Source organism: Homo sapiens, chromosome 18 (genome assembly GCF_000001405.40).
Source record: "Homo sapiens chromosome 18, GRCh38.p14 Primary Assembly".
Classification (NCBI taxonomy): domain Eukaryota; kingdom Metazoa; phylum Chordata; class Mammalia; order Primates; family Hominidae; genus Homo; species Homo sapiens.
The window spans coordinates 40,067,863-40,090,565 of NC_000018.10; the positions used below are offsets into that span (position 1 = coordinate 40,067,863).

Genomic DNA, 22,703 nt, shown 5'->3' on the forward strand with positions numbered 1-22,703 from the left:
CTGGACAGCTGGAAGTCGAATTTTAAAAGAAATAAAATGGGTGATTTAATTCTTGTGTTTTTTTCTATGCTCTGGCATCAACCAATTCTGTGACTTTGAACAAGTTCTGTAACCTTCTAGTATCCAGTATACTCATCACTAACATAAGAGGACTGGACTAAATGTTTTCAAAGTACTGGCCTACTCAAAGACTCTTTTATTTTCTATTCATGATAGTGTTTGCAATTATATGGTGCTCTCCACCTCCAAAATATATTTATGTGATAGTGTTTGTTCTTTTGAAAATTCCTGTGTGGTAGCTCATATAGAAAACACTATAGCTCATTTTAAAGATAAGAAAATGAAGGCCTACAAAGGTAAGATGTCTTTCTCAAGGTTGCTTAGCTAATTAGTATCAGAGCAAAAACTAGAAACATAGGCCTACTGTACTTCTAACTACATCAACTTATTCCTTTCAGCAACAATTTTTTAAGATTTCTATAAAGAAAACATTTTCTTTTGTGCATTTTCTTCAATTGCCTTATGTCAATGGAGTTTAAAATTTCCTGGAAAATGTGCAAGACCCTCTGGAAAGTGCTGTGGGAAATCCAGAGATTTTTAAAAGGGAATATATTTGCCAAATTAGGGCTCCTATAATCTAATAGGAATATCAGACAGGTCCAAAGAAAATCCTGTTATAAAACATAAAATATACTGACTGTTTCAAGAGATATGCAGGCTGAGTATAGTGGCTTATGTCTGTAATCCAGCACTTTGGGAGGCCAGGGTAAGCAGATCACTTGAGGCCAGTAGTTCGAGACCAGCCTGGGCAACATAACAAAACCCTATTTCTACTAAAAATATAAAAATTAGCTGGGCGTGGTGGCACATGCCTGTAATCCCGGCTATTCAGAATGCTGAGGCAAGATAATCACTTGAGCTTAGGAGGAAGAGGTTGCAGGAAGCTGAGGTCGTGCCACTGCACTCCAGTCTGGGCAATGGAGTGAGACCCTTTCTCAGAAAAAAAAAAAATAATAATAAATAAATAAGATCTATGTGAATATGCCACTTAGAAATTTCAGAAAAAGGATCAAATCAATTCCCTTCCAATAGGTCAGAGAAAACTTGAGAATTTGGTAGTTGAGTTTGGAAATAAAGTGGATTATGTTGAGATTTTATTAAAAATTAGAAATTTGACAAATTAAGCAATATATGTTGGTAAATGTAGAAAAGTAGAAATAACAAAGGTTAGAAACCTTTGCAGCTCATTGCAGAGTGGCAGCCACATGACAGCATATCACATCAAAATGTTCACCTCTTTGCTTACCTCCTTTCCTCTTTTTCCTCACCTTTATTCCTTAAGTTCTGCTTTGAGTGGGCCCAAGATAAGACTCTAATAACCTATGTTTAATTACCTAGAACATCATATAGGAAAAAGTTGTGAGAATAAGTATTTTAGTGAAATAAGGTGCATTCCACTATAAAATAATCCCAAAGAATTCTTATATGAATGTAAAATATTATGGGTTCATAGAACTAGGTAAATCATTTCCACCAATATAAGTACAATTTTTCTTCAGCTGATAATATTTAGGGAAATCTTAACAAAACTACAGCTGGTTTAGGCATGCATAAATATGTTAACAAACATGTGTAAACCTAGTTGTAAACCAAAATATTTTATGTCAATAAATACATGAAGAGGGCAGCATATGATACACCAGTTTATAGTTATTCATATGTCAATGTGTGAATACTTACATTTTAAAGAAAAAATTCAATTAAATGGAAATGCTTGCAGGGTAAGAATGCACTAGATCAATACTTTCTTTTGTCATCTAACATGTATTGTAAAGAACAATGAATTAGAGTCAACACTCTTACATTCAGATCCCCTCCCTGGAAAAACCTGGACACGTAAGCTGGAATGGGTCCTTTCACTTTCTGGGTCTCAGTCAAATGAGCAAGTTAGATAAGTCATAATTTGCGAAGTTGCAAACTACAGAGCAAGAGTCCAGAAAGATTATTTTTTTAAAAAAATTTTGAGATGAAATATATTTAAGGAAGATTCATACATCATCTTTTACTGTGGATTATCAAGACAAAATAGCATATTAAAAGCCCAGAAAAGTCCTTTAGTAAAGAAATCTGTCTAATTTCATCATAGCATTTTCCAAATGTTAAGATATTTGAAATTTATTTTTCCATTAAATATGAACATCTCAAAGACATAGTTTCTGTGGATCTACTGTTTGGAAATGCAAGGTTATCATTAGATCCTTAACATTATAGGATTCTTATGTATAATATAGTCTTACTGATATGGTTTGGCTGTGTCCCCACCCAAATATCATCTTGAATTGTAGTTCCCATAATCCCCATATTTCATGGGGGGGCCCAGTGGGAGGTAATTGAATCATGGGGGTGGTTTATCCCCATGCTGCTGTTCTTGTGATAGTGAGTGAGTTCTCATGAGATCTGATTGTTTTATAATGGGCTTTTCCCCCTTTTGCTCAGTACTTCTCCTTCCTGCCACCGCGTGAAGAAGGATGTGTTTGCTTCCCCTTCTGCCATAATTGTAAGTTTCCTGAGACCTCCCCAACCCTGTAGGACTGTGAATCAATTAAACCTCCTTCCTTTACAAATTACCCAGTCTTGCATATGTCTTTATCTGTAGTGTGAGAATGGACTAATACACTTACTAAAAGGACTGGACTAAAATTTGAGACCCCATTTTTGACCTTGGCCCATGAATGATACCATCCTCTACCCAGAGATAGAGAGAGTAGACAGAAACTACCAGGGAGCACTCTGAGACTGGGGACTCAGGAAGAAAAAAACAAGGAAGTGTGACCTTCTGCTGTGGAAGAAAGGAAGTCAAGTTTTGTTGAAAGCTATGGTTTGGATTTGTGTCCCCACCCAAATCTCATATTCAACTGTAATCCACAGTGTTGGAGGTTGGGCTTGGTGGGAGATGATTAAATCAAGGGGGTGTTTTTTCATCAATGGTTCAGTGCCAGCCCCTTGGTGCTGTTCTTGTGATTGCGAATTAGTTCTGATGAGGTCTGGTTACTAATCCCAGCTATTCGGGAGGCTGAAGCAGGAGAATTGCTTGAACCCAGGAGGTGGAGGTTGCAGGAAGCTGAGACCATGACACTGCACTCCAGCCTGGGTAACAGAGTGATACTCTGTCTCAAAAAAAAAAAAAAAAAAAAAAAAAAAGAGAGAGTGTGTAGCACCTCAGCCAACTCTTTTCCTGCTCCTGCTCACATGTGAGATACCTCCCTCCCCCTTTGCCTTCCTCTATGATTGTACGTTTCCTGAGACCTCCCCCAGAAACCCAGTAGATGCCAGCATCATGCTTCCTGTACAGCCTGTGAAACAGTCAGCCAATTAACCCTCTTTACTTTATAAACTACCCAGTCTCAGTTAATTTTTTAGCAATGTAAGAACAAACTAAAACACTGACCCAAGAGATTTGAAGTGTGGCAATGAGTTCCAGATTCAAACCTGATATTGAAGAATTGGTGATAAGTGTATACATAATTTGGAACAGGGCTTCTCAACCTAAGAACCGCTGACATTTGAAGCTGAATAATTCTTGTGATAGGGTGGTTGTCCTGAGCATTGTGAGATATTTACTAACATTGTTGGCTTCTAACGCCAGATGTAAGTGGCATCCCCTTCCTTCCATTATGACAATCAAAATTTCTCCAGATATTTCCAAATGTACCCTGGGAAACAACTTCTTCCATTTGAGATTAGAGAATACCCTACTGGGACAGTAATATATATATATAGACATACATACCTTTGGTGCGTTGCAATGGTTACTGCAGGTATAAACTAGCCAGAATTCCAACTTTGTTCCACCTTTGTTATAATTTATTTCTCAATTTGGTGTTAAGTTGTTAGGAAATGACTTAATGTGTTATTTCATGGTGTTGTTCTGATAGAAGTTATTGAGATAAGGTATTAAGGGCAGACAGCAGTGTTGCTGACTCCATTTTCTTCTGGTCATCTAATACTGAAAAGGGCCTGGCCATTTGGATAGGCCCCAGTGCTGCAGGCATCTCGTGAAGAGACATGAGAGGAGACTTCTGCAAGAAGGATACAAATTTCAGTTTCTAATTGACCAAACATTTATCAAAATCCACCCATGGTGATGATAAAACTAAGAGGCATTCTCTTCCATCAGATCTTATCCTAGTGGATGGATTTTTCTACATCTTTCAAAGAAGGAAAACAAAAGAGAAAGTTCTTGGGAGGGGTCTAAGGAAATGTGCTTCCTTTGATTATTTTACTTCTCTCAGATCTTGATTCTTCAAGTAGTGCTTACACAAATGATATTATAATAGCAAGAGCTTCTATTTATTATAGAAGTACAATATTCCAGCTGTTATTGCATTTAATCATGATAGGAATTTTGAGTTGTATTTTATTACCATTTTATAGATGAAAAACTGAAGACTCAGAGATGAGTAACTTGAAGACATCTGACAGATGGCTCAGCCAGGATCTTAACCTAAGTCTGTCTAATTCCAAAACTTTTGCTCAGATCAACCATACAGCCATCCCCTTAAAAATAACGATTTTGAATCTTCACATTATTAGTTATTAATATGCTTTAAATATTCTTATATTGCCAAACTGTAATAGTAGACTGTAGAAATGATTTCTTTTTTTTCCAAACGAGAATTTGGAGAGCAAATTCTGAGAATTTGGTAGATAAATGAGTCATGTGACTGAAGCAGAAAAAAGTTGAGTTAGCACTTGGCACAGCATATGCAAATTATATTTTGTTGTTGAATAAAAACATTGAGGCCATTTGAGAAAAGAAAAAGACCTATCTTGGTGAGTCTACTGGGAGTCTTGGAAAGGACACAGGCGTCTTAGTCCATTTTCTGCTGCTATAACAAAATATCACAGACTAGGTAATTTACTTTAAAAAGGAATTTATTTCTCACAGTTCTAGAGAGTGAAAAGTGCAAGATCGAGGCCTTTGCAAGACTGGCTATTTAGTGAAGACTGCATCCTCCAGAAGAAAGGAATGCCGTGTCCTCACATGGCAGGAGACAAAAGGGCAAGAGGCCAAATGCTGTGTGAAGCCTTTTTATAAGGGTCTAAATCCTATTCTTGAGGAAGGAGGCTTCATGTCCTAATTACCCCTTAAAGCCTTCAACTCTTAGTACTATCACATTGGTAACACCTGAATTTTGAATGGCACACATTTAAACCCCAGCAATAAGCTTCCAGTTGCTAGTGCCCTCTTCAAGAAGCTAATGAGATTTTCATACAAAATTAACTTAGGAAAATAGGAAAGAAGCCAGCCCCTTTAAAGTGCACTGAGAAAATCTACTGGGCTTGGAATAATTAATTAGTGACTATTGAGTAAATATACTGTCAACCTGGGTCTTGAAAAAGAGACATTTTGTAGAGAAAAGGGAATTTTGCAGAAACTGAGGTGGGTTGGAACTAAAGTCACCTCTTAAAAATAGAAGGCAGCAGTGCAATGAACTATAGTCAAGGGAAGAAACTGTTAAGTATCACTTTAGTTTGCCTTATCAATCAGTTACTGAAGGCCACCGATGTGCTAGGGGAAGGGCTAGGCACATGTCAATGTGAAGATGAATAAATCTTGATGTTCACTATAAACATACTGATAGTTTTTTGGGGGCTAAATGAAGGAACATACAATTTCAATATTATATGGCAAATACTATGACACATTGTGGGTTAAAAAAATGGCTTTCTCACACCAGGCATGGTGGCTCATGCCTGTAATCTCAGCACTTTGGGAGGCTGAGGCAGGCAGTTCATTTGAGGTCAGGAGTTCAAGACCAGCCTGGCCAACATGGTGAGACCCCATCTCTACTAAAAATACAACAATCAACTAGGTGTGGTGGCATGTGCCTGTAATTCCAGCTACTCAGGAGGTCTGAGCCTGGGAGACAGAGGCTGCAGTGAGCTGAGATCGCATCACTGCACTCCAGCCTGAGCCACAGAGGGAGATTCTGTCAAAAAAAAAAAAAAGAAAGAAAGAAAGAAAGAAAGAAAGCTTTCTCTCTAACAGTTTTGAATCATGGATTCCAAAAGGAATCCACGATTGTTAATGAAGTTCTAGAGTGGAAATACAGAATGTTGTAAGAATGGAGAAAATTTCTAGTCACCAATTTTAAAAAAAGAATTGAATGAGTTATGTAAAACACTGTGACTCCATAACTCAAATTTGGCCTTAACTCTGGTGATCTTCATATAGTGTTATGCCAATTTGGTGCAGGAAGAGCTGATTCTATTGAGGAAAGGCAAAACATCTGAGTCTAACCTAACTGACTAATGAGAAAATTCTAGCAGACAGTAAGAAGAAAACCATGCAATTTATTATCACTACTTTTGTACTGTCTTTCAACACTAATTTCTTTATTGCCGTCTTTTAAAACTTCTTTTTGCTTTTTCCCAGTTGTAGGCATTAACATGGTTCTTGAAAATATAGGAGGTTATGCTCAACTTTGCAGTTAGCCAAGTGTGAAAAGAACCAAGATGGAAAGAAAATAATATAATGCTGTAAATTATTTGGCTGAGAGTTGGTGTCCAGTTTTGTAAGGCAGTGATAGCTAGAAAGAAAATCACACAAAACAAACAAACAAACAGAAAAACAGGGCTGAAGAGGAGAGATTAAAGAATTACTTCAGCCAAGGAATAGTAATGGGAAGACAACACTGAGGAAAAGTCCACACCTCTTACATGGGCATAAAGAAAATGCACAATAAATATCTGGATAAAATGAGAAGGTAGAAAGTAGGGAAAAATAATGGGAGGGAAAAAGAAATTAAAGAAGTGAGACAAGGGAGAAAGGAGGAAAGAGTAGAAATGGGAAAGAAGAGAAAAGGAAAGAAAGAAAATAGGATTGAAGTGTGATCCCTTTGCAGCACTCTTTCCAGAATATACTAGAAGCAGTGTGAGCTTTGGAAACCAAAAAGACTGGGATTTGTTCATAGTTCTGTATCTTCTTACATTATTTTAAGTAGTTCCACTAACCTCCCTGAGCTTCTGTTTCTAAAGAAAATGTATGCAACTAGCTAAGCACTTAAAAAATGAGAGCTGCTTTCATTATTGGTATTTTTTGCTGAAACTTAATCATGTACTATATATTTTTTGTCAATTAACTTCTTATGTGTATTATTCTTGATCCTACCTTTTATTAGACAGCCCATTCTACGTTATGGTGCTACAATAAACAACTTTAAAATCTCAGAGGCTTAAATTATGTTATACTTTGTGTGTATTGTATATCAGTGATGTCCCTGCTCTAATTCATCCTTACTCCAGGACCCAGACTGATGGAGTCTTCATTGTCTGGAAGGTAAATGAGGACCACGGCAGCAGAAAAGTTATACACTACCTCTTAAACACTTTCCCAAGAAGTGACACACATCACTGCTGCTCACATATCTTTGACTAAAGCAAGACAATGGCCACATTCAACTTCAAAGTAACAATGAAATGCCATCTGTCATATGCCCAGAGAGAGAAAATTATGAAAACTCTTACAAAGGCACAAATGACTCTTCTACCTCACCAACCAAGTTTCCTCATTGATAAAATAAGGAAATGGGAGCACTTATTTTATAATGTTTCTATGAACATTATGGTAGTAAACACATATGGAACATTTAGAACAGTGTCCAGCATATGGTGATCCTGTAATCATTGCTGGATATTGGGATCTATTGTTATCAAAAACCTTTCTAAGACCCACGTCATGGTTTGTGCTGACTTGCCTCTCCGTGAGCACTTTGCCTGGTGCTTTGCACAATCTAGTTACTCAATAAATATTTGCTGAATTGAATTGAATAGTGTTCCAGCAGCATGGCTGAGACCACCCACCAGCTGGCAGACCAAGCACATGTAGGATTATCAGTTCCATTTCCCCTGCCAAACACCAATGCACTCCACTAAGCATCCCTCAGCTGCGATTCTCTATTTTGGCAACCTAATTGACCTTAATGTAAATGTTCCCAGCCACATAAAACATGTTGTGAAGTGCACAACAGCAGTCACAGTTGACTGCCAGCTGCCATCACACTATGTGTATGCAATTTATTCCTCCACAAACCCTCTTGAACATAATAAATAACAATGCCTTTCTTAGAAACCTCCCAACAGTCAGCACACAGGGTACCAGTGGCACATTTTAATGACTGCAACAAAAGAAAAGAAAAAGAAAAAAAAATACATGCCAGACTTTAAAAACAAGAGCCTACCTTCTAATATAAAGACACTCTTTGATGTGAGCCTAAGAGAAGGTCTCCCGCCTACCTGGAGTCTATTTGGATTGTATTCCTTTGCATTTCCTGCACAATTTAATATGAGGCCATCAAAGGGGGGGAAAAAGCTGCATTATGAAAAGGGAACAGAGTTTTTGTTTTCTCTCTGTCATCCTTATGCTGAGGGACCTCAACCACCCCACTTATTTTCTGGATGTTAGTTTCTGCATCTATTAAATGGAGAATATAATGCTTGCATGATGTCTTTCCAGAAGCTGGTGAGAGAAATGGACAGAGTTAGTAATATAAAAATTATATGAATAGGTCTAAATAATTGTGCAAATATCAGAGAACATCAGTAAAAATATTTTCTTTTGGATCTTGGTATCCTCTTTATTTCTTTTTTTTTTTTATGTTTGATCTGAGTCAACGATTTGCTGTAGGGTCGCTGATATTTTCCTAAAGGTCATGTTTAATGAGTAGCAAATCAAGGCAGAAAAAGAACACCCTGATCTCAGACATGTCCTACAGAGAGGCCCGTCACCCAGGTTTGTGCTTAAACTCAACATCTTGACAATCCTAGTCAGGTAAGAACATCTTAATCCATTCAAATTCTCTTAACCTGAAATTTATGAAGATAATTGAAAAATTGATTGAGAACCACTGAACTCAAGAGCTAACAACTAAATGGAATGTCTGAGGTGTTAAGAAGTGTGCACATCTAGATGCAAAGACACTGCAGAGTTCTGGGGCAGGTGCTAGTTATGCTTTACCAGGAGCTTTGGAAGAAACCTTAAACCTGTGAAGGGGGGGGATGAAAAACAATATTTTTGTTAAGCCAGCCAGGATCCTTTTGTCATTGACCTTTGACCCATTTGTGTCTATCCATCCCATTTTTATCTCATGCTGTTCTATACCATGAAGCAATTCTCTCATCAGGGTCTTTGCTACGCTCCATATGAATATCTTAGTTATTCTTTAAATTGTGATCCACTTGTTTGAAGCTTCCACATTTATGTGTGGGTGCATGCTCTATTCAATTTATTTATAAGAAAGCATTTTCTCCTATACTTTTGTGAAATGCTAGCTACCTCTTTCATTTCTTCTGTGGGATACCTTTCCTCCTTCAACAGGTGCACAATCTAAATTGTAAATTAGAGTAATTCAGGTTCTCAACATTAGTAAAAACAAATAATCTCATGTTGATAAGGGTCATTTGCCTCCAAACAGATCAAGAGTTTCTGGTGGTTTTAGTTACATGGCCAATTTCTATGATCATCTTTCCTGAGGATTCAAAAGGAAAGTGAAAACTTAATGTACAAATCAACTACTTAAAGCTCTCTTCCAACTCTTGTCAAGCACAAAATACAACTTTTCAAACAAAGTCACTAAGTCGTCTTGACTATACCCAGAGAAAAATGTATTGAGAAAATGGAACAGTCAAACAAACAAGCAAATACACAAATAAAAATGAGTGTAATTGAAAAGAAAATAATTATAAAATACAGAATAAAGAGGAAGAAAAGAAGAAACACATTGGGGTGAGGAGCGTACAAAGAAACAACAAGCTAAAACCAGCCCCTGGTTGATGTGTCTTCTTCCCAAGCAGCTGTGAAGCAGGAAGGCCTGGGAAAGGAGGAGGATGGGAGAGTTGGGAAGTTTTCCTCGTCCTATTTGAGTCACATCTTCATAGGGGGCTTAATTCCTTCATTTGAACAAATAAGTTTCTAAACATTGACAATTAAGCTTTGCCAACATTTATTAAATATATCAAAACTAAAAATGTAAACTATATGCAATTATTCCCCATTTTGTTTTCCTTCTCTATTTTGTTTTGTTTTGTTTTAGTTTTTCCTGACATTTCACTGTCTGAACCTATTCTTCTAGGTCCAATGACAATCATTTTTCCTCTCATGAAGTCATTGGACAATTTTTTTATCAAATTTAATACTGTACATATTAAAAGAACAACAAGTGAAGTAAGTACAATTTATTTATTTAATATATGTATATATATATATATTTTTTTTTTTTTTTTGAGACAGAGTCTTGCTCTGTCACTCAGGAGTGCAATGGCAGAATCTTGGCTCACTGCAACCTCCACTTCCCAGGTTCAAGAAATTCTCAGCCTCCCGAGTAGCTGGGATTACATGTGCCTGCCACCACATGCAGCTAATTTTTGTATTTTTAGTAGAGATGGAGTTTCATCATGTTGGCCAGACTGATCTTGAACTCCTGACCTCAAGTGATCAACCTGCCTTGACCTCCCAAAGTGCCGGGATTACAAGCATAAGCCACCACGCCTGGCCTATACACTTTACATTGACTGTATTGTGTATTATTTCCTAAATGTTGCCTGTGGGTTAGGTTAGATTGTGAGAACCTTCATGTAAAGTTTTGATTTAGAACAAAGTATATGAAGAAATAACAGATATAGCATTATCCCTTATTGGATACTGGGCAATATATTGAGGATACTCTATATTTGCTACTTTTCTTGGTTCTTCTTCCTTATCTAATAGAGGAAGAAAAGAAGAAAGGAAAGAAGGCCGGGGGTGGTGGCTCACGCCTGTAATCCCAGCACTTTGGGAGGCTGAGACGGGCGGATCACGAGGTCAGGAGATCGAGACCATCCTGGCTAAAACGGTGAAACCCTGTCTTTACTAAAAATACAACAAATTAGCTGGGCATGGTGGCAGGCACCTGTAGCCCTAGCTACTCGGGAGGCTGAGGCAGGAGAATGGCGTGAACTCAGGAGGCGGAACTTGCAGTGAGCCGAGATCGTACCACTGCACTCCAGTCTGGGTGACAGAACAAGACTCCGTCTCAAAAAACAAACAAAAAAAAAAAAAAAAAAAAAGAAAGGAAAGAAAAGAAAAAAGTTAGAAAGGTAGGAAAGGGAAAATAGGGAAGATGCAAAAACATTGATTAACAACCCACTTTTTTTCAGACAAGAGGTCCAATAATTTAAATATATTGTGCTTTTAATTATCCATCAATACTAGAAGAACCATTATTATTGGCTTTATGAAATAAATGGCCTTATACAGGTTAACTTGTATAGAGTCACATGGCTAGAAATCAGTAGGTGTCTATTTGATTTCAGACTGTCATTTGTTTGTTTATTGATATAGTAACAGCATGAATAATTTGAATTATGCTATTCAGTGTGGTAGCCACCAGCCTCATGTGGCTATTTAAACTAGTTAAAATTAAATAAAAGTAAGAATATACCCTGACACTTGCATTAGCCACATTTTAAGTGTTCAATTACCACATTTGTCAAGTAGCTACTGTAATGAAAAATAGAGCTATAGAATTTTCCTATCATTGCAAAAGTTTCCACTAGAAAGAGCGGTTGTTCAATGTAGGCTTTTCGTGGGTCAGAAACAATCCATTTCCATTGATTTCTGTGAGGCTTACCACTGCACATATGTTGTTATTTCCTATTCTTCTTTGAGGAAAATATTTTACCAGACAAAAAAATATGCTGATCAATTTTTGATTATTTTAATGCTGAGGGAAATAGTTATAAAATATTCAGGTCCAAATTCTTGGTAGACCTCTGCAAAGTGTTTGGTGAAATTTATGGGTGCAGCTGGTTTGCAGTTGTAAAACCTTATATTTTTAATGCAAAATGGCATCTGTGCCTGCTAATTGGATACTTAGGCATACACACATAAATTGCCTGGGAATTAGAAAGGTGTATTTCTTCAGTCTGCCCACATCTTGCCATTTTGAGAATCATTGCTCGGATTCATTTTTTTATCTGTGTTATTCTTGTAGAGTGGGTGGGAAAAAGCCTTCTCCTTGTTATAAATATTGCCCGCTGGGAAAACATTCTTCCTCCTCCTAATCCAGTTTTAATCCTTTCAAGCTCTGAACTCAGAAACCACTGTCTGTGTGGTAGCTGCTATTCAAAATAAGTTTGAGCTCTGTGATCACTGCCACCTGTCCTGTGAGACAGGAAGAATCAAATTTGTAAATGCCACTGGCAACCCTGTCTTTAGAGTTGGATTCAAATTTAACTATGAGGCCACAGAAAAGCAGTTAGGCCAAAACCTTGCCTAGCCTTTCTGAACATTTTCATTCTCTGCTGGTATTGTCTAGTTTGCAATGCAAAGGCAATAGGATTGAGGGATATTCTGCTACAATTTTCATGCAAAAGTTTATTAAATATGTCCTCATAATTTTTGTGAGCCCTAGAAAAGATGACTTGGACCCCAGAGTCTATACTTCTCTCATCCGAGAAGATTGCTTTATCATTCTTCCGTGCACTGGTAATTTCCATCAGAAAGCTTGCTAACCTGGTATTGACAATTATAAACCATAATCAAAAGGTGAAAAAGGCTCACCCACACTGATCTACAGTAAAGCCGATATCAGCTATCTGGGAAGAAAAGAAACACAAGAAAGTAAACACCAAAGTGTGGGTATATCTGCCCTTTTTATGTGAGCATTACAGAGTGTGAAACATGAATGCAAAGAAAGAGAATAATTTTCAGAGATTTAATCCCTTCAGAATAGAAAGCTTTGGTTGCAGTTTAAGGAGCCTTTTCACCTCAAGGTCACAGCTCGAATCTCATCTGGATTTGTGTATAGTGTTCACATTCAATTATTTTTGAGCTCTTTCTGCAGTATTGCTTCCTTGTATTGCATATACTATTTATGCCCATTGGGCCTTTTGCACATTTGTCCTGCACATTTTGTCTGCTCCTGTGGCTAATACAGACTGATCTTTTAAATCAGCTGATTGGGTTATAATGGATAATTTATCCTCTTTCTTCCTTTTTTCCTCCACATATAACCATGTTGGAATCAGACTTCCTGGTCCTTGACGCCCAATAGGGGGAGAAAATAAGACTGCTCTTGGGACAAGTTAAGTCTATAGTGGACCTTGGCACTTGGAAATGTAGGTTCTGTCTTTTAACTACTTTCAGGCTGTGTAGATACATCAAAGTGAGAAAAATCAACTGTTTTTTTATCCTTTTATTGAATATTTAAAATATACATATATGGAGAAAAATTACTTAGGCACATGCACACAAACACACATATATTTTAAGCAGATGGTCTCCATATACTCAGTTTAAGAATAGCAGTAATTTTTATTAACAGATATTAATTATGAACTTATTATGTAAAAGGCATTGCCAGGAACTGTGGGTGATAAAGATTCCAGACCTTCTCTTAATTAACTTATTTAATTGGAAGAAACATATATTTGTGAAAAACAAAATTAAAGTGCAGAGGAACACGATGACAAACAGGTAATATATAACACCTTTTTCAGAAACTTACAGTGACAGAAGGATATTACAGTCTGGGTTGATTAGGGAAGACTTCATGCAGGAGGTAGGACAAAGAAATACAGCACAGGAATAAGTTAGGCAGAGAAAGCAAATAGTAGGACGTTCTAGAATGTTAGAAGTTGAAAATATTCATGGGGTGGGCTATGAAGAAGCTGAAATGATTGGCATGAAGCATAATCCCTTATATGAGAGATTTGAGAAATTTAAAGCAAAATTGAGACAGCCTTTCTTTTCCTTTAAATACCGGTAGTCAATTCCTTCCCTCTTTGCCCCTACCCGCTATTCCCTACTAATAAAAGGCTGCAGGCATAGGGTTGCAGCCCTATCCTGCAGAATCTACAGCCCTTGTCCCTAAAATGCTGAGATGACATTTGCAGTCTGTAAGGTGCAGAATCCTGCTGAGGATCCCAGCAAGGGAAGATAACCAAGCCTAACAGTGCTCAAATTGTGGTTTGGGGCTTTAACATTTTTCTTTCCTTTTCTGTTAGAGCCATCAATTGCCTTCTACAGACACTAAATTCACTTACAAAGTTTAAACAGAGAAATAAAATGGAATGCAATGATCAGGAAATTCCATTTGGCTTTTTTCTCCCTTTCATCATTTTGTTGAATGTGTGCAGAACTATATGAGGTTATTCATTTGTACCCAAACAGGAATATAGGATTTGCCATATTAGATCAGTCCATTGGTCCACCAATGTTGTATTCTCACTGCCTCTGGCACCAGATGATACATGAAGCACTGGAAGAGAGCGAACTCCCCCCATCCCCAGAAGGCAGCAAGTCAATTGTGCAGCGCAATATATGGGGTGAAAGTCTCCACTGGTCGGGGTGGGACTACATAAATGGAATCTGGATTTGAAGATGTTTAAATAGGGCAGATGCTGCATCCATTGAACACGGACTTAGGCAGTTCTTACCTTTAGAAATTGTGTCTAGTGTCTCTGTGCTCACTTGTGTCAGAGCTTCTCTGCTCATTTTCAATTAGAAGAACTATTATTTATCTTACAGTAATAAATGGAAACAGTGGAATCAAACAGCCCCATTCCTGAGAGATGAAGACAACACTCTATGATAACTGACATGTTGCTGCTTTCTTTCTGGTGAAAGAATAAATGCAGTCAAAACCAGAACTCAGTGTAATATCTCAGGACGGCATGCCCCTCTTCCCATAGTAATTATTACAGAAATCTATAGTCTGTTCAACTTATTGGCCTATTCACTCATTCAGTCAACAGGAAAAGACAAGACGATACTGTATGAAAGTCTGACCAACATAAAGGGTGCTACAAGGATGCCCCCAAGGCTCAGGATGTTGGAGAGTTGAGGCACCATGAGTAACCACAATGCAGGTGAGAATAAGCTCTCTGCCACAAGAGCGGTCCAACTGGAATAATGCATCCATTCAGAGAAGTGAGAGGCCAATTCCAGCTGGGATGATACGAAACACTATGCTGCCACTTTCTTCATGAGGGGAATGTGAACAAAATATAAAATAATTAATCTGACATTCCTCAGAATCCAATATTTGTGCAATTTTTAAAAATGTGCAAGATTATTTCTAGTTTTCCTAGTGATTTTTAACTATGCAGCTTCAGCCCAGACCTGTTGATAATGATTATAATAACGATGGGAGATCTGGCTATATAATTTCTGAGGCTTAGTGCAAAATGGAACTGCAGGGTTCCAGTTTAAAAAGCAGGAAAAATGTGACCATAAGATATTGAAATATAAGGTTTTTCCTTTATTCCAGGTCTCCTGATTGACTTACCATATGTTTTTTAAAATTTGCTATTTAATGCCATTCTTGAAACATTAAATTTAAATGATTAGCATGAATATTACTATTCATCTTTATATTGTACGATTTCAGTTTTAAATTCAAATGTAAGAACATTTAAATTGTATATGGAATCACCAGAATTGCACAATTTGTATTTCAAGGACATATATTCATATATATATTTCGTTCTTACCAAAACAATGGAAACACTGTACAAAACTAACTCAACTGTTTGTTGATACTTTGTACTTTCTGATACTCTTGCATTCCACCAATACTCTCTATGTGTTGCCCTAACTTTCTCTTTCCAACTAGGGCATTATTTTCAGTGTAAGTTGTTAGCTGAAATACAGGGAAGTGACTTGTGTAAGAAAAGATAGGACAGTCATTCTCAATTGTTCGTCACTCTTAGACTGCACACATCTTTACTCTGCATTCAAAGCAACTTCTGGTTCAAATGGAAAGTGTGGCCTCTTGGGAAAAGTGTGGCCCCAGTCAGTCATAGATGTTACACACTTACCTTGTACTTTTCAGTCTCATTGCACTCCAATTCACTTTGGGTCCTTTGGAATTCTGTGTTCTTGGTACCTTGTGAATTTTAAATGCAAATGGTTAGCAAGGAAGGTAATCCTGCATGTTGAGAGAATCTCCTCTGCACACACGCTTGCTCCATTGTCCCATTGAACGTCACTTATAAAACACAAGTTCAAAGATAAAATGTGTTAGGAATCCAAAACAGTGACAATAGGACATTAAACCAAATATGGTCCGCTTTTAAGACAGACCTGGGTTTGACTGCACAGGTTGCAAGCCTAGGGAGCTGGCCCTGAGTCATGACACAAATAAAATGCCTCATACATATGGAATACTGTTTATGTCTGGCTGTTTGATATAAGCTATCTTCTATACATTGTATCTTTAATTTTCACAATAGCTTGGATTTGAATCCAGGCCATCTGGGTCTAGAGTCAAGGCTTACTAATCTGGGTTTCATCTAAGCCGTATTCACAAATTATTTTTATTATGAGGCAAAATAAATTTAAAAGTGCATGATGAGACCGGGGAGAGGTTTAGTACACAATTTTTAAAAGATTGACTGAAAACCTACTGCTTCAGGAAAAATTCAAACTGTTTTTTCTCTGTTCTTATACCACATAACAATCATCACAGAAGAAAACCAACACAGAAGTCTTCTGTGACCGAATGTGAGGGTTTCCCCTGCATGCCAAGCAGCAGACATCAGCTGGCTGTCTTCTAATTTAGTTTTGACACTACCTGGATATACAGTCAGATCCCACAGGTTGAGGGCTCAGTCCCCATGACTGTTCTCCCACCTTCAGACAACAGTTATAAGTTTGGGCCTTTGGAACTTCTGTACAACCGGCTTCAGGTTGGGGTTCATATGACCCCTTACTTGGGTTTGATTACTTTGCTGGAGCAACTTACAAAACTCAGGGAAACACATTTACTAGTTTATTATAAAGGATATTACAAAGCATTCAGATAAAGATATGTGTAGGGTGTGGCATGGGGAAAAGTGTTAGGAGCTTCCAAGCCCATTTATGGAGGCTTCATTACATAAGCATAATTAAAAACTATATAGAAATGTGACTACACAAAAAGTACATGATCTAAACCCAGCAAGGCCTGTCTGTTCAGACCTTTCTTGGTGTCTCAGGGTAGTATTCCTCCCTAGAGGGCAAGCTTGTCAAACTTATGGCCTGCAGACCGCATGCAGCACAGGATGGCTTTGAATATAGCCCAACACAAATTTGTAGGCTTTCTGAAAACATTATGAGGTTTTGTTTTTTCACGATTTTTTTTTTTATAGTTCATCAGCTATCATTAGTGTTAGTGTATTTTACGTGTGGCCCAAGACAATGCTTCCTCCAGTGTGGCCCGGGGAATCCAAAGATTGGACACCCCTGTTATAGGGTATGCAATGAGGGTCTTTCGACCCACAATAGATTAGAGTCCTGCCTTGGGCAGATGAAAGAAAGAGAGGAGAAGGTCAGAGAGAGACAGAGAGACACTGTTTCATGAGACCTGCTCCTGGAGCCTAAAGTACTCCAAGGTTACATCAAATTACTGTAACAAAGGCTCTCTCTTTCTCTGTCTCTATCACACCCGCTATGACAAGAATCAGAGATATTTGAGGACTAGAGAGTGAGTGAGTTTGTTTTCTAAATAGGTTTGAGATTATGCAGTTTGAATATCAAGCATTTTCTTTTGACCCAATGAAAGTGGTTGAGACTATGGGGAGGCCCCTGTCCCTTTCCCTGTATATATGTGTATGTGTGTGTTGTAATACTTTATACTTTACCACCAGATAGAACATTTTTAAAGCTAATGCCTTATTTTTAAACTCCTAGTTCTTTACTTGGAGCTTTACAAATAGATTTAGGTAATAGCTATTTAGTTATAAAGTTTATTTTAGGAGTGTTCTGTCAGTTGAGTGAGTTACAAGTCCGTAGGTTAAAATCAAAACAAAGTACATTTCCAGACTCTCGGGCACTGGCCATAGGACTCTGAGTGGTTGTGCTGGTTTTCAAATGAAGGTCCGGAGAGTGATTAAGTAGCCATTAACTATGTGACCTGATGTACCCTGAAAGTACACGTAAACCTCCCTATTGTGCAGAAAAGCAAAATATATACTACACAGATAGAGGAATAAAATATTTAAGAATAACATCTTGTTTAAGCTTGTAAGTAGCAGGACCCATGTTTACCATCTGTTGTGGGTTGAAGAGTGTCCTGGAAAATTCATGTCCACCTAAAATCTCATATTATGACATTAATTGGAAATAAGATATTTGCAGATGTAATTAGTTAAGATGAGGTCATACTGGATTGGAGCGGGCCCTAAATCCAATGTTATTAGTGTCCTTATAAGAAGACTTTTAAGTGTCTCTTTAGATGGAGACACACAGAAAGGAGAACACCATGTGAATATGGAGACAGAAATTAGAGTGATGCCTCTACAAGCCAAGGAGTGCCAGGGAGTGCCAGCGACCACCAGAAGGTGGGGGAGAGTCATGGGATGGATTCTCCCTTTGAGACCCAAGAAGGAATACATTCTGATGACACTTTGGATTCAAACTTCTAGCCTCCAGAAATGTGAAAGAATAAATTTATATTGTTTTAATCAAGCCCCAGTTAGTGCTAATTTGTTACAGCATTCCTAGGAAATGAATGCAGTATTTCTTAGCTGGTCACCATTGAGCACTGGCAATAGTTTAGGGCCATATATAATTAAATTTGTCTTTGACTCCTTGTCTAAACAGGATATGTTTCATGAAGACAGTGGCTGATTTTACACTCTTTGGTCTATTTCGTATAGAGAAATGTATAGTGTCTAGTTAGGATTTAAAATACAAGTAAACAAAAGAAAACAAAATTCTAAATGATGGACTGATTCATTAATTAAACTGTGGAGCTGAACAGTAAGGACATATATGTATGATAAAATCAAAACGATTCTACTAGGACTATGATCTACTTTATAAAAATGTTATGCAAGAGTATCATTTAGCTGCATGGATGGGTGGATTTCAGAACATTTTATAAAATGCACGCTAGAGAGCTTGATCATACATAAAATCCTAAAAGGTTAGTAACTCCTTCTAGTTTATTATTGTTATTATATGTCTCTTTTCCTGTCATGATTAGCATGGAAAGTCTCAAAATGTAAGGCATCTATATGCTTATTTGAAGTAGAGTAGGGCAAGGGAGCAGGAGGGAAGCAGGTAGGGAGAGAGACTACTGTCTACCTCTGAGTTATTCGAGGAGAAGGAGCTCAAGAGGGTGACTATTTGCAGTCACCAAGACAGGACAGCCAAAGTCTCTGCAGCTCATGGTACAGAAAGAAGAGGCGTGTGTATGTGTGTTTGTGTGTATGTGTTGTGGGCCTCACAGAATACCCAATGTCTTAATATTAACTTCCATTAGCTTTCTCTCATATCCAAGGGACAAGATGGCATATTGCTAACCTAGCAGAAATGAGCTATTTCTCAACTGCTCTCTTCACTTTCTTTCCTATTGCAATCCTATTTCCAAAATGTATACTATTTTTTCTATTTATTTGTTCTGTCCAGCATTGTCTTGACTCCAGGTATGTTCATGAATCTTATCCTTGACCAAATAAATACATACAGATAGACCAGACTGCCCAGAACACAGACTATGTCAATTGCTAAATTAAGAAGGAAAAATCAAGACTTCATTGATGTATACACAGAGAGCTTACCCTGATGTGTGTGTGTGTGTGTGTGTGTGTGTGTGTGTGTGTGTGTGTTGACAGAGAGAGCCAAAGGGAAGAGAAAGAGAGAGAGAGAAGGCCCAGAGGCTGGGGAAAGTTAATAAAGGTGTAGAATGTATAGAATGAGCCATTCATGCTCAGAGCCAAACAATGGATTTAAACTGCTCAAGAATCATTATTTACTAGGTATCTTTATAATTTCCTTCCTTTAAAATGGTCTACTGATTTTATAAAATTTCTTATCCCTACAAAAAAACAAAAGACAAAACTTAATCATAGACTGCCTTGAGTTTTTTGGCAAAAATAATTTTAAAGGCATAACAAAAATATCTAACTATTCCAGAAAAATCATGAAAGCTCACCACACAACAGAAAATTTGCCTGTGAAAACAATGTTCTTCTCTCCTCTTGTTACGCAGAGTCCTGCAGTCAGCTTCCCAGCTGTAATTCTCCCCGACACCGGGGATATTAAGAATGTGAAGAAAATGCTTGAGTAGATTATAAATAATAGTGTGAGACACAGTGAATTATATTTTCTAATAATTGGCATTACATTATAAGACTGAGGGGGAAAAAGGATGAAAGCAAAGAGAACGTGAATGCAGGCAATCACGGATTTTTTTTCTCTGTTCTTGGGAGTGTGCGTAGGAGCAAGTGAGGAAACTAAAGAAATAAAGAAAATGAAAGTAGAAGCAGAGACAGAGAAAGAGAAGGGGGAAAGGGAGCATGGAAAGGAAAGTGGGAGGACAGGGAAAGATGATAGGGAGAGAGGAAAAAGAGAAAGAAAGAAGTAAGGAAGGAAAAATGCTCCGTTTTTGACCGGCACTGATGCCACATCACATAGCTGAGTAAAATGGAGTAAAGGACAGAGACACACAGCTGGACCTGTAGAGATAAGGGTGTGTCTGTAACCCAGAGGAAGCAATTCCAGTTTCCATAGGGTGAGCAATTGCAACGTTACTTTCCCTTGAAAATATAGAGGAAGAAAAACATACATGTTTGTTTATTGTATATTCACCATCTTTATGTCTGCTCATTTCATACAAAAGTACTCTAATGCAAACTCATAGGACCAGTATTATGAAGACAGAGACAGATCTAATTCTGCCCTTAATTAGTTTGTAACATTATTGCCCTAACTTCTCTGAAGCAGTTTTACCTTTCTGCCTACTTCACATAATTCTGGGGAGTATCTAACAAGATAAAACCTGGGAAAGCATTTTTTTAAAAATGTAAAACACTATTCCTCTTGGGATTTCAACACATCTTGAGAGATAGCTGCTTGGGAAGATACTCCTCTCTTAACAAAAGAGAAAAAGACATTTTTTTTTTTTTTATGGAGGCATTGTGAAGTGAAGTGTTAAGGCAGGAACATAAAAAATTTAAGGCCTGAAAACAGTACAAAGGAGGAAAATGGTGTTTTTTGTGAGCAGCAATTGGGAATTATTTATCTAGATTGTTTGTCTACATAGTTAAACTTGACTAAACAAGGGCTCTGCTCATTGCAGTTTACCTTGATCCTGTCAAGATTTGAGGAACAGGGTGGATCCCTAATAGTGTCCAATACGTAAAAACATTTACTCCAGTTGACTACTGGGGTTAAATAAATCAGAGAGAAAGAAGAAAAGGAAAATGAAGGAATCAAAAAGGAGGGATTGAGGAGAAAAAGAAAAGACCAGATGGGAGGAAAAAAAATAGGAGAGCAGGAAGAAATGTAAGGAGAGGCAGAGGCTAAGAATGAGTGGGAAGATGAGGTGGTGCCAGAATAATGACAGATAACATAAAATGAGAGGAAAAATTAGAGCTCGGTTCAGCCATCTCATACGAACATGTTCTCAGAATATCTGCTCACCAAAGCTGACTAATGTTCAAGTTCTCCTCTAACAGAAACTACTGTTCAATATGAGCTTCCTCTTTAAGTTTCCAGTATTCCATGCTATCATTGAAAAGTCATGATAGGTCCTTAGCCTGAAGGAACACAGGTATGAGTAGAGATCTCTCTCTGTACTTTGTCAAAATCATTCCTTTGTGGTCGCAACAGCGTGTAATGCAACAGGACTATGATTTAGAGTAATGCAGAATGCTTATTCAGCCCTGAATTCCAACCTGATCCTTTGTTCTAATTTCTTCTATTTCTGGGCCAGTAGGCCTATGGCTATATAAATGGTAGATTTCCCAAAATGTATAAGAAGCAGTCAAGTGTTATGAATGATTATGAATTCCGTTCAGTAACCTAGTCATGAATTTATAACTTTTATTGAATTGTCTCCACACTTCTCACTTCCTCTGCCATATCTACAAACATACACGCACCATGCTTGCTTTCTTTTTAATCCTAAAGTCAATTAACAAAAAAATAACAAATGTCAAATAACAAAATACCTTGATGGAGCAAAGCCTGTGTATGCAGCAGAACAAAACCGTAACCAACAATGATGCTCAGGTCTGGGACCCTGATTAATTGAATTTCTAGTTTAAAGAACATTTTGGACAGGCTGTGGTGGCTCACACCTGTAATCCCAGCACTTTGGGAGGCTGAGACAGAGAGATCACCTGAGGTCAGGAGTTCAAGGACAGCCTGGACAACATGGTGAAACCCCATCAGTACTAAAAATACAAACATTAGCTGAGCGTGGTGGCCCACGCCTGTAGTCCCAGCTACTCGGGAGGCTGCCGCAGGAGAATGACTTGAACTCACGTGGCAGAGGTTACAGTGAGCCGAGATTGTGCTACTACACTCCAGCCTGGGCAACAGAGTGGAAAAAAAAAACCCACATGTTGGAACCCCCTTTGCTCTGGCATCTTCCTTGTTCATAGAACTATGATTTGCTTTGGGTATCAAGTGCGATAAGTGTTAGGGGACCTGGGCCCTTTCTCAGTTCCAGGGGATGAATCTTGCACAGTGGTTACCCTGGACAACATGAGGAGACATGAGGAGGAACATGTTGTTGAGCTTATGTGAAAGTTTTAAATATGAGATATAGAAATACTTATGTCCTATTCTCCACTGCTAGCTTTTCAGTGTAACTGTCTGAAGCTGTGATCTCTGGAGATACAGCAGTCATTTTGTAACCAAGAGGACAAACCTAAAACTGAAAGCTGAC

General features: G+C 37.8%; 1 long non-coding RNA gene across 1 annotated transcript in view; it reads left to right on the forward strand.

Moving 5' to 3' along the window:
- LINC01477 (long intergenic non-protein coding RNA 1477) overlaps positions 1-22,703 on the forward strand; it is a 32,948-nt gene that overhangs the window by 1,577 nt on the left and 8,668 nt on the right. Inside the window, exons 2-3 of the long non-coding RNA NR_110791.1 lie at positions 2,497-2,557; positions 14,790-14,910. This is a non-coding gene — a long non-coding RNA (long intergenic non-protein coding RNA 1477). The remainder of the gene's footprint in view (positions 1-2,496; positions 2,558-14,789; positions 14,911-22,703) is intronic.